The following is a 12,979-nucleotide window of genomic DNA, read 5'->3' as shown; positions in this document are numbered from 1 at the left end:
GGCTTGGATCAGCCTTTGTGGCCTGTCCCAGTTCTACTGATTTAACTAGAAATTTTTATATAATCACATTAAGCCTATGGGGACAGGAGTTGATGTAAAAGAAAGATATCCTCATTTTACCTGGAGGAGGTCATTATTCAGTGGTCAGTAAGTTTTCAAAATAATCAAGAAATAGCTATATATATATATAGAGAGAGAGAGAGAGAGTATACAAATATGGAAATAAATAGAAGAAACTGCTGAAATGTTTGAAAGTAAGGAATGGAATTGGGAATGAGAGGGTAAGAAGTTTATATTAAACGTTTTGTTGTATTTGAGTTTTTAGAATTGTGAACATGTATTGTGTTAATTTTTAAAAAGTAAATGAAGTTTTAAATTAAATGCCTAATATACCTAGTAGGAAGTCAAGGTTTCCTTTTTGTGTTATTCCCAATTTTTATGTTTCTAGATAGGCACCTGACTTCCTCCTGTTTTTTGACAATTTCTGCACAAGAAATTACTAATTCACTATGATCTGAGGGCCATGCAGACTGCCCTAGATAATCTTGAAATTTGCTAAACCATTATAAAAGGTTTTCTTTTAGGTAAATTTCAATCCCTTTACCATTCAAAATGTTGCTAACTGAAAGCATTTTTACAAATATACAGTTAATTGAAATCTGGAAAAGTAATGAGCTTCCTTATTTGCTTATATGCAATTCCCAGTATCACACATGTAATTTAAAGATTACCTACTACCTGCAGATATTCTTCTTACCATGTTAAGGCAGAGACCACCCTCTTCCCATTTCCTATGCTGGAGGTGAGACAGATGGAAGCATTATTATAAATTAAGATCAGTGGTGGGTAGAAATTTGGCAATTCAATTAGGAAAATTACACACCAACGTTACGCTTGTTACCAAAACTTCTTTTTTTGCAAATCACCAACTTCTCCTTCCTCTAATTTTTGGGTAAACAAATTAACGCTGAGTGTTATCGGCTGGCCCGTGGGTTTTCCTGCAATATATTATCAGGACTCTGTCAGTGAAATGCGCGTCGTTGTCCGTACATTAGTTCCTGAGACTTGCAGGAGTTGTTGCAACTTGTTCATTCCAGTGTTCAAATAGTTCAGCCGTTGTGTCAACATGTTAGGGGCCAGTCTCTGATCATGATGGGCCAGGCTCACTCTTTATTATTGCGGGTGGATTCCCTTTCATTTATGTTCAGACTGCAGATCAGCCTCTACCAAAACAAATTGGCAGTGAAAGGTAGAATATTTCTTGTTGAAATTGCCAGGGGAGTCAGTACAGGGTCTGGATAGGATTTCACAGAAGATTGGAAATGGTATCAGGTAAAAAATGTGAGTTAATATTGAGGGCGATTCCACCAGCTTGCTCCTGTCTCTGCTTTAAGAGTAAGGAAATACAGTCACTGATTACAATCATGGCTGTAGTCACTGAGGCTTACAGTATGCCCAGACAGGCGTGGTTTTAAGTGCTCTGTCTTATCTCATTTAGTCCTCATCACATCCGTAGGTGGTATTTCACTTTCATTGGAGTAAATAAAAGAATGCCTTAAAAATGCTTAACACAGTGCCTGACAGTGTATAAAGAAACATTAGCTTATTATCATTGCTAATCATCAATAACGGCTCGATAATGTCTTTTGGAAAAGCTCTGTCTTTTGGAATCCTGCCAGTCCAAGGTAGACTCTTTCCCCTTGGGGGAAGAATGCAAAGGGTGGAATAGAAAACTCTGTTGGAAGTTTACATTCCTATATTTTAGTGGCTAACACGCTCAACAGATGAGGGAAAGACAAAATAAATTTTTCAACACTAATCCTAGTAACTAAAGTATGTCACATGTCCAGATGCTGATTCCATGTGACTTGGCTGGGCCAACACCTACCTTGCCAATCTAATACTGACATTTTTCGCCTAGTAACCAGAGACTCAATCTTACAGCCCCCACTTTCCGAGGAGGGAATGAGATGCTTTGTTCAAACAGAGGTGAGCCTTGTTAGATGTTGCAGAGGAAATTCAGACATCAAATAAATGCCCTTTAATGCTGCTTGTCACTCAGAACTTGTGATGCTAAGAACACACAATGTTAACTTTTTTTAAGGAATTAAGTGGAAGACTCCACCACTGTATTGCTAAAAAGATGTAACCAAAGGCAAGTGTAGCTTTTGGAAATTTAATTGAACTTTAATTAAAATCTTTAACTTTGCTAAAAAAAAAACTGCCATAAAAATAGACATTAAATAGTTAAGCATTTGATTCCTGAGTGGTTACAGTTGTAGTGGACAATGGGCATGATGGAGGCCTGTGATTAAATCAAGGGCTTTGGCCCAAGCAGATAACACTGGGATTAAAACATGGTCCTGACCACACCTACTTTTGTCACTTTAGGGAAGTTATCTCTTTATGTGTGCATTTTCACATCTGTAAGATATGAAACTTCATGGAATTGAGAGACAGGACTAGCTGGATTTCCTGTGCTGACTAAGAATTCCTAAGCCTAGCTGGGGAAGGTGACCCCATCCACCTTTAAAGACGGGGCTTATAACTCAGCTCATACCCGACCAATCAGGTAGTAAAGAGAGCTCACTAAAATATCAATTAGGCTAAAAGCAGGAGGTAAAGAAATAGTCAATCATCTATCGCCTGAGAGCACAGGGGAGGGATAATGATCGGGATATAAACCCAGGCATTCGAGCCAGCAGTGGCAACCCACTTTAGGTCCCCTCCCATTGTATGGGAGCTCTGTTTTCACTCTATTAAATCTTGCAACTGCACACGCTTCTGGTCCATGTTTGTTCCAGCTCCAGCTGAGCTTTTGCTCACTATCCACCACTGTTGACCGCTGCCATCGCAGACCCACTGCTGACTTCCATGCCTCTGGATCTGGCAGGGTGTCTGCTGTGCTTCTGATCCAGGGAGACACCCATTGCCGCTGCCAATCGGGCTAGAGGCTCGCCATTGTTCCTGAGCGGCTAAGTGCCTGGGTTCCTCCTAATCGAGCTGAACACAAGTTGCTGGGTTCCACGGTTCTCTCCCATGACCCACGGCTTCTAATAGAGCAATAACACTCACTGTGTGGCCCAAGGTTCCATTCCTTGGAATCTGTGAGGCCAAGAACCCCAAGTCAGAGAACAAAAGGCTTGCTGCCATCTTGGGAGTGGCCCGCCACCATCTTGGGAGTGGCCTGCCACCATCTTGGGAGCTCTAAGAACAAAGACCTGCCCGTAGCAGAATCTTTATGAGGATTCTATGAGATTACAGCTTTGAAGTACTTGGAACATAGTAGATACTTAATAAATGACAGTTATAATGATAATGGTCACGAAGAAGGGATCCAGGAAGTACCTTGGGTTCCATAAATTTGGTGTAACAGAGGAACCATTGTCAAGTCACACAAGTTAATGCTTTTCTTATCTTGCCCAAAATGGGCCTGTCCAACCCCCGCTGTTCTCACAAATCAGTGTAGAGAAATGGAGTACCGGACAGGGAAGGATAGAGAGACAGGTTAAGTGTTCCTCACAGTAAAATGCCTCAGGGGCAGTAGATATTTGCATCCAAGGGAATCCCCTACAACCTTTAACACATAATAATCACAAAAATAAAAACCAAGCAAAACAGGAAGCACATTCAGCAGAAACTCCATTCCCGATAGGAAAGAACCAGCATTCCAGAGTTTCCCAAAGGACACCAGGAATGTGGAACTTGCCAATGCAAATTCCATGGAATCCAGAAATTATCTGTAAAGAGCAAATGGCCAGATATAGGGAACTAACCATGCCAACCAGTCTGGTAATTATAGGAAACACAGAGGACAAGCACTAAGAGATATGCAAAATTGGGAGATGGAAAGAGAAGGGTTCCAGATCCCATAAGGCAGAGAAATGGCCAACTCTCCAATGAGGAGAAATTGAATGCTAACACCAGAACTACACTTATTTGTTACATAATTAACTTAGGGTGAACTGTTTCTTGTTCTCATTCCATAGTATATACATTCTCAATCATTCATATCATTAAAAACCTCCTTCAGTTGCTGTTAATGACACCTAAAATAACTGAACCCCCAAGTGACAATTTTAATAACAGTGTTGATATGAATAGACCAAGCTAGGTGAACACCAAAATTTAGCAAAGCGTGGTCTAAAATGGGTGGGCTAAGGATTATATTTCACATCAATTTGCTCCCTTGATCTCAACGCTACTTTTGTTATCAGGAAGGGAAAGTATTATCATACCCATTTTACAGATGACAGAATTGAGCTCCTTGAAATTTAGTTAATTTCCCAAGTTTACAGAGTTTATATTAGAACTGGGAGTAAAACCACCCAGGACATCTCCTCTTTATCATATTGCCCTCTGAGAAATCCTTCTGTGAATAATATGTTTTTATTTGCTTCTGGTTTTGAAATGTTACATTTCAAAATCCAATTTGGATTTCAGTGTACTATATGTTGAATATGGAATCTCTGCACTGTGAAAAACCTTGTGATATTTCTAAGGCTTCAAGACCTATACACAGTCTAACAGGAAAATCAGTTATAATGGAAATGATGGTTGCACTGAATGGGCTGGATCTTTAAAATATTCATTTCCCACAAGGAAATATTTTAGAGTTATACTCCATGCTAATACAGTGCAGAAAATATTAATATCAATAGCCCTCTGGGATGAAATTAGGGGTGAACCTAGCCCTAAAATTTCTATGTTTAGCATTTATTGAAGCAACCATAGTCACATTCTGAAGATTACAACTCATTTTGTTAAATTCATATGTATATGTGTATATATATATATATATATATATATATATATATATATATATAGCAAGACAAGCTAAAAATGTAAGTGTAATATGGTTTTCACATGTTATGTGTGAAAATGTTCTCCTTTTGGTTGATTGGTTATGGAGATTTTGAATTCATAGACCCTGGCACCTGCAGATATATGCACATTTGCAGATGGTAATTAGAGCTACTCTCCTGCGTTTCCCCTCACCCTCCCATATCCTCCATTTATCTTGTTTATTTTTTGTTTACCTTTGCAATACTCCCAGGGAGGAAGAGGCTACAGCACTGGCGCACTCCCAGGTATGAATCTAATGTTTTAAAACGGCTACACTATGAGGTCTTGTATATTTGCTTTAGAAAGGTTGGAGTAGGTTTCATTTCATCCCTAACCCGAGGATGTTGCGAAGATGTCAACCCATGAATGAGTAAGCTTTGTGGTCTGGGATAAGTCAATAGTTTATACCAGAAGGAGTAGATCCATGTCAACAGGCTAAGGTCTTTGATGTCCTTTCTCAGTATCCTCTTTTCTGATTTGCCTTTTAATGATGCTAATAGAATAACAGCTTTAAATGATTTATTGAATTTTCCATCTAGGAGAGATGTTAGGGATTACTGGATGTCATACCTGTCATTTTATGAAAATGGAGGCACAAAGAGGTGACATGCTTTTCCCAAAGCCACACAACTGGTAGTGGCAACTGGAACCAGAAACAAAGTTCACTGACACCTATTGCTTCAATCTCTGCCTTCTAGCCCAGTCACATAAATGATTTAACTGAAATAGTCACTGAATTAAGCAACTGTTTTGATTGAACTGGTGTAATAAATTTCACGTTCCTGCAACTAGGGTTTATTTTTCAGTTGAGCTTCAATGCTGGTAAACAGACTTGAAGCTGATTAAGCATTTCAGATTTAATTCTTTCTAGATTCCTTGGGCCATGTTCCCATCTGGCTCAACCTCAAAATAAAGAACCCCAGAACATTTTATTTCCTAAAAAGTACAGTTAGGCCTGCCATATAAAATGTATAGTCTTGTGTGATTATAGGAATTTTGCCTTTATACCCTCTCAGCCAAAGATGATTTTATTATGTGGGATTGAATTAAAGTCATGTAAACGGAAAAACAGTATTTTTAAAACACCAAAAAAGAACAAGCAATGCAGAGAATGTGATAAAATCTTCATCACATAAATGTTGGGATTTAATGAATACGTAATGTTACTTGGAACACAGAATAATGGAATCCAAGAAGGAAATAATAAGCACCACCTTAAAATTTCTCAAACACAGCTCAGGAAAAAATACACCATGAAACAGGCACAGTGGCAATCACTATAAAACATCTAACTGTTTTCTTTCAGTTGTAGGACAAAGGAATTTGTGTCAACAAAGATAGGATATAGGATGCAAAGATTAATATTTTTTTTCTGCAGCACTTGGCCTGGTGTTTTAAAACTCACGAAGTTCTCTTTTTATTCGTGGCATAGCAAGGTATAGTTTAATTGATCATAAAATTGGTTAAACAAAGGCATTTATGAAAGCATATAAAATTGATGTGAACATAGAACGTTAGACCATTAGTGTGTTTACCGTAAAAGTCTGCTGTGTCTAAGTACATACGCTTCAGTTATAGCTACATTGATTAAGTTTTTGTTTAATCTGCTATTTCCAGCAGCAAGTTCCTTCCCTGTTTCATGCCAAGTTCCTTTTAGGATTTCCATGTGACTTGCATTAGCATTTTTGGCTTCAGAAGTACCTCTAATGAACCATTTATAGTTTTTTTTTTAAAGAATGCTCAAAAAATTAGGCTGTGACAGTTATCCAAAACATAATTTGTTATGCTGTTTAATTGTTTAATGGCTGTTTAAAAATTTAAACATGGTCCCTGGTTGATTGGTTGATATAATACCATTAAGGTAGATTAGAAGCGCCTTCAAGACTATAATTATCTGCTGGGTCCTTCATGGTTCAGATTTATAAATTAGGTTGTGTTCTAATAAAATGTTAATTCAAAAATGTCAGCTTCAGTGTTTTAAAAACCAGTTCTTTAAAATGTTGCTAAACACCTACATCTTTAGAGAAATAATTACTAAGCTAAGGAAATGGAGTGAAATTTTCTGTTAAAGTGAATGTGCTCTAAATCCATATGCTATTTATTTATTACAATTATATGCATTCTCTTATGTATCCATTTTCAAATTCTCAAGAAAATTCATGACTCTTTTCTACAAAAATATTTTTGACCATTGGCATGGCTCAAATCTTCACAGTAATGGTGGGTCTTGGGCCAAACCCTTTGATAGCTCAACAAATGATTGTTGAACATCATGACAAAAATCTCACACTCTTTTTATGGGAGGAAAATAAAACTGACTGATGGTTTTCTCTGTAATGCAGTTATCAAATTATGCTTCTCATTGCAAAAAGAAAATAATACTGCATTTTGGTTTTCAGGAATAACACATACAGGAATACAATGCAGCTAAGATACATTTTTTTTTTGAAGAGTACTCTGAAGACCTCTGCATTAGAATCACCTGTGATAGTTGTGTAACATGAAGATTCTTGGCTGCTTTACAGCTATAGAATTAAAGAGTTCCCTAAAATTTGAAAACCAGTGATCAAGATGCTAAGCTATTTTTTTGTTTCAGAACATCTTCCCTAAGGTCCAGTGCAGTGATTCATGCCTGTAATCCCAGCACTTTAAGAAGCCACGGCAGGAGGATTGCTTGAGCCCAGGAGTTTAAGACCACTTTGGGCAACATGGCAAGACCTCATCTCTGTAGAAAACCAGAAAACACCATCTTCCCTAATCTTCCTCATGAACAGATTTGCTGCCTTTCCCATATTCTTCTTATATTACATTACCTTTACATTGTGAGGACTCCCTAGAGGGCAGGGGCCGTGTCTTTTTTACTGTTGTATTCTCAGAGCTTAGTACAATAACTGACACAGGGTAAACCTGTAAGAAACTGTTGAAATAATAGATGAATGCGTGAATGGATGTATGACTAATAAGCAATACATAGAACTTTGTGGTCGGGCACACTGGCTGACACCTGTAATCCCAGCACTTTGGGAGGCTGAGGTGGGTAGATAGCTTCAGGCCAGGAGTTTGAGACCAGCCTGACCAACATGGTGAAACCCCATCTCTACCAAAAAATATAAAAATTAGCTGGACATGGTGGCACGTGCTTGTAGTCCCAGCTACTCGGGTGGTTGAGGCAGGAGAACTGCTTGAACCCAGGAGGCAGAGATTGCAGGGAGCTGAGATTCAGGTGACTGCACTCCAACCTGGGTGATAGAGCCAGACTCTGTCTCTAAATAAATAAATAAATAGAACTTTGGCCATGATTAAGCAGAATTGATGATAATCCCATTTCCCAAGTCGCAGACAAAGTGATTTTAAACAAAGAGTAATTTCTTCCCTCTCCCATCACTAATTTCATCACTACTCCAGGAAAGAGTGTCATTTTAGCTATAATTTTCCAATCCAGCATCTTTAAAATGGAACTGTCACCTCAGTAGTGATATTAAAGTGTCTACAGACCTATAACCATTCATGGCTGATCTTTTGCAAATTCCAGTGTAGAAGTGGAAGTGCTCACCACCCTCAGCCCTGAGATAAAAACATGCTCTAAAGTCGGGGGAATGGGGAGAGATTCATTAAAGGATAAAAAGTTAGACAGAAGGAATAAATGCTAGTGTTCTATAACACCATAGGAGGACTATAGTTAATAATAACATACAGCTTCAAATAGCTGAAAGGAGGGGATTAAATATTTCCAACACAAAAAAATGATAAATGTTTGAGCTGATGGATATGCTAAGTATCCTGATCTGATCACTATACATTATATGTATAGAAACATCACTACTCCATAAACATGTACAATTATTGTGTCAGTTAAAACAATTTTTTAAAAAAGTGTTTCTTGAACAAATGAAAAAAGAATGCTCTTAAGAAAAGGAGTTAAAAAGGCAAGATAAGAGAAGTTCAATGCAGTGAAATGGTTGACTAGGAGTTAAGGGAAATAGGAGAAGCCACAGACACTTGAAACCTTGTATAATTCTTTGAGGTTAAATCTGGAAATAAGTTAGAAAGCCATAGTTAGAGAGTTTTGAAAATTTTGGCCAAGCATTCAAGATTAAGGAGAGTACCTTATTTACTTAAATATAGGGTGCAGTTTGTGTTAAAAAATCACTTCTTAAAGAGAGAGCATGGAGGGCTAATCTAGGAAAATGACCCTAGGGCACCTGCCCTCACATTTATCTCAGAAACCACACTGCTGGGATAAAAAGGAGCAAAATGAGGGAGCTGCCTGGAACATTTTTTAATTTAAATTACACATTTAGTACAAAGTGTCAGTGTCAGAAGGCAGCAGACCATGGCTGTCTCGAGGTCAGAGATATAACATCTTTACTTTTGTATACTCTCATTCCTAAAAGAGATCTCCCTCATAGCAGAAGCTACTTGGCCAATCCTTGCTGAATATTGAATAAAAACAAAAGGAAAATGCACACAAGGCAAAGAATAGAGTTTTAAGCAACTGGATTTCTTTCTATCATTGAAATTTTTTTTGCTGCTTTTTTTTTTTCGAGGGGATGGAGTCTCGCTCTGTCGCCCATGCTGGAGTACAGTGGTGCAATCTCAGCTCCCTGCAACCTTTGCCTCCCAGGTTCAAGTGATTCTCCTGCCTCAGCCTCCTGAGTAGCTGGGATTACAGGTGCATGCCACAACGTCCAGCTAGTTTTTGTATTTTTGGTAGAGACAGTGTTTCGCCATGTTGGCCAGGGTGGTCTCGAACTCCTGACCTCAGGCAATCCACACGCCTCAGTCCCCAAAAGTGCTGGGATTACAGGTGTAAGCCAGCATGCCAGGCTGTCCTTTGCTTCTCAAAGCCTGATTGAGTTGAAGATTTTCAACTGGGATCTGTTGAAAGAGCCCAGTGGTGAGAGAAAGTCTGTGAGAGAAAGTTGGTAAGTGGTTAAGTGTGATAAGAGATCAGAGGAAGTTTTCACAGTTTGGCTTGTAGAATCTTCCTCCTAGAGCCAACCTCTTAACATCACCCAGGCAGGGCCAGCTTCATGGGTATATGACCTACACAGTCACCCAGGGCCTGTGCTCAAGGGGCTACTTGCTTGATTTAATGCTCTAGTGTCGTCAACTTGAAACTCTCAATAATTTTATTGTACACCTTGGTGTTTTGCAAGTGGAGTCTCATGAGACAATGGAGCATGCACATGAACAGAGAAGACAGGCACAATATATGTGTCTGCCATTGCTTGCCACTCTACTCTCATAGAGTGTTTGTGATGCCCTGTAAACATAATTCTGGTGGTCCCATGAAGCAGGCAAGATCAGCAAGACGGAAAGTGAGTATGAGATAACATTTAAAACTGAGTAAGCTGAGGATACTGACAGCCCCAAAAGCCCACACTTTCTGTCTGAACCAGAGTGTGCTTTGAACAGAAAAAGAAGGCAAGTGAATTCTAAGAAATGTTGGCAATCTGGGAATCCTATGATATGATTTCTTACCCATGTGACTTCCCTGTATTAGCTACTTTTGCCAAAAACGATGTGGAAGGAAAGGGGAATATGTCTCAAGCCATAGTTTCTTCTCCTTTCAGTCCTTCTTACTCATCAATAAGCCAGATATAGAGAGTATTGGTAGAATTGTGACTATATCAGGAAGGGAAATAAAAACAGGGCAGCCTTTCCTCTCTTGTGGAAAGAACAAAATACATATGCATATACAAGCTGCAAAATAGAAATTGTGTCATTTCAGTAATTCTGCATATGCTCTTGCATTTGCATTCAAAACTGGCATCACACGATATAAAAATGAACAGCAAAATTTATGCTAATAATTTAAAATTTTAATTTTTCTTTACTTAGAATGACATTAAATAATAAACCATGATAAGTCAAGAGAAAAGACAGAATAATGGAAAAGGTTTTATATTTTGATAACTTTAAAGAGGGTAGTTTTTTTTTCCGGCTTTTTCAACAAAGAGCTGTGTTTTTATTTTGCACTGGTCTCATCAAATTATGTAGTTAGCCTTGCTTTCAGGCCAGTATTCCAAGGAAAACCATCATGGAAAATGCTGGAAAGGAGGAATGCGCAGCAGAGAGCTGAAGCCTAAAAGATTAGCTTATTTCCTTCCCAGCTGCAGGGCAATCAAAGGGCATTGTCAGGAACCCTGGAAAAGTAAACAGAGCTGGGCTCTGCCCCTTAGCCTGTGTGGACTAGTGAAAGCTGTCTTACCTTTCTGAGCCTCAGGTTCCCATCTGTAAAGTGGAATAGTAACTTGCATTGGTGTTATCAGGGATGAACGTAACTTACACAAAGTGTCTACCACATAGAAAGCTTTCAGTATATGACAGCTATAATATTACTCTATAATTATGAGTTGTGTTCTTTCTAGGACCCTGTTTTAGTCAGGGTTCTCCACAGGGACAGAACCAATAGGATATATGTATATACAAAAGGGAGTTTATAGAGAGAATTGGTTCATACAATTACAAGGCAAAGTCCCAAGACAGGCCGTCTGCGAGCTGGGGAAAGAGAGAAGCCCATAGCATAGCTCATTCCAAGACCAAAAACCTCAAACCAGAAAAGCTGACAGCGCAGCCCTCAGTATGAGGCCAAAGGCCCAAAAGTCCCAGGAAGGCCCCTGGTGCAAGTCCCAGAATCCAAAGGCTGAAGAACCTGGAGTCTGATGTCCAAGGGCAGGAGGAGAGGAAGCAAGGGTCTCGTTTGGGAAGAGACAGAGAAAGTAAGAAGACTCAGCAAGCTGCTTATCCCTTCTTCTATCTGCTTTGCTCTATCTGTGTTAGCAGCCAATTGGATGGTGCCCACGCCCTTGGAGGGTGGGTCTTCCTCTACCCTTCCACTGACTCAAATATCTGGCAATACCTTTCAAGATACACCCAGAAACAGTGCCTCACCAGCCATCTAGTCATCCCTCAATCCAGTCAAGTTGACATCTGTGTTAACTATCAGTGACCCATAGCACTGACCTTATATATATGGCAGATGAGGCTTGCTTTTGTGGAAGGATTCAAAAACATACTGTCTTCCTCTCAAGACCTAAAATAATCCGCTCCTGTTTATTCTAATTTTCCTTCCCACAAGCCTATCAGAAAAAGGTCTGATACAAATCCTGAGCAATTTGGTGTGAATGTAACAATAAATAGAAGCCACGCCTGCAAGAGCAGTGGCCACCGGGAGGGAGGCTGAAGGACGTTTCTAAAAGGGAAAAGTGAACCTGAATGAGAGAGTGAGGGAAAGAGAGAAGAAACACGAACAAATGCCACTTCTTGGAATCTACAAGTTAGAATTGGGATCATCAATCTGGGAAAGCTCAAATCAATGAAACACCTTACAACTCAGTCTCAATTTCATAGAAAAGAATGGGTTGATTACTGTGAAAGTGACTTTCATAATCTAAGGTTTAAAAATTCAGCAAATATTCATTAGAGGCCTGCTCTATACATGACACAGTGCTAAGCACTTTGAGAGACACAGAGAAGAATAAGGAAAGGTCCCTTCCCTCCAGGAGTTCACAGGAAAGAAAGGATTAGATCAGCATACCACTATGTATAATGCAGGAAGGAACAGGTATGGTTGGAACAATAGAGACCATGAGATACCGAGGAAAAAACAGCTGTCTTTTTATTTTGAGGCCTGCGTGCCTTTCTCTCTACTCTTTCTGTCTCATGCTAACCTATGTAAACTTTTTTGTTTTGCTACATACTGATGAGAACTACAATAATTTTTTTTTGTCGCCATTTTTTATGTCAAATGATGTGCCATAATGTTTCAATTATGTCATATCAGTTAATTCATGTAAATACTGCTAGAAAAGAAAATGGGCTAAAAGAATCTGAAGACTTGCTCAAAGTCACCCAGTTAATCTGCATGAGAGCCAGGATTCAAATCCAGGTTAGTCTGCCTCCAAGCCCATCCTCTTTCCATTTTGCTTTTGTAAGGGCCCACCTGAGGTTCCCTAAAGAGAACGCATGGTTATGTCCAACCCTTTTGTACATGCTGTTCCTCTGGAGTGTCTTTAACCCTTTGTCACCTTGATAAACTTCTATATATAATTTCCAATCCCCCTCAGCTATTAATCATCTGTTTCCTAGCATTTCATCCCCTCCAAAATGTTCACCACTCCCTATTCTG

At 39.1% G+C, this 12,979-nt stretch overlaps 1 long non-coding RNA gene across 2 annotated transcripts in view, besides 1 other annotated feature; it reads left to right on the top strand.

Annotated features, from left to right (window-relative positions):
• Window positions 1-12,979, top strand: part of LINC02391 (long intergenic non-protein coding RNA 2391) — a 104,570-nt gene that overhangs the window by 21,278 nt on the left and 70,313 nt on the right. The gene's annotated exons all lie outside the window — the stretch shown is intronic.
• Window positions 10,713-11,214: an enhancer, noted in NCBI's record as "NANOG hESC enhancer chr12:92725117-92725618 (GRCh37/hg19 assembly coordinates)". NCBI's record gives its function as "activates a minimal SCP1, AML or CMV promoter by ChIP-STARR-seq in primed H9 embryonic stem cells {active_cell/tissue: H9 hESC(primed)}" and the evidence as "EXISTENCE:reporter gene assay evidence [ECO:0000049][PMID:30033119]".

This window comes from Homo sapiens, chromosome 12 (assembly GCF_000001405.40).
Source record: "Homo sapiens chromosome 12, GRCh38.p14 Primary Assembly".
NCBI lineage: Eukaryota > Metazoa > Chordata > Mammalia > Primates > Hominidae > Homo > Homo sapiens.
This window is presented reverse-complemented; position numbering and strand designations above follow the sequence as displayed.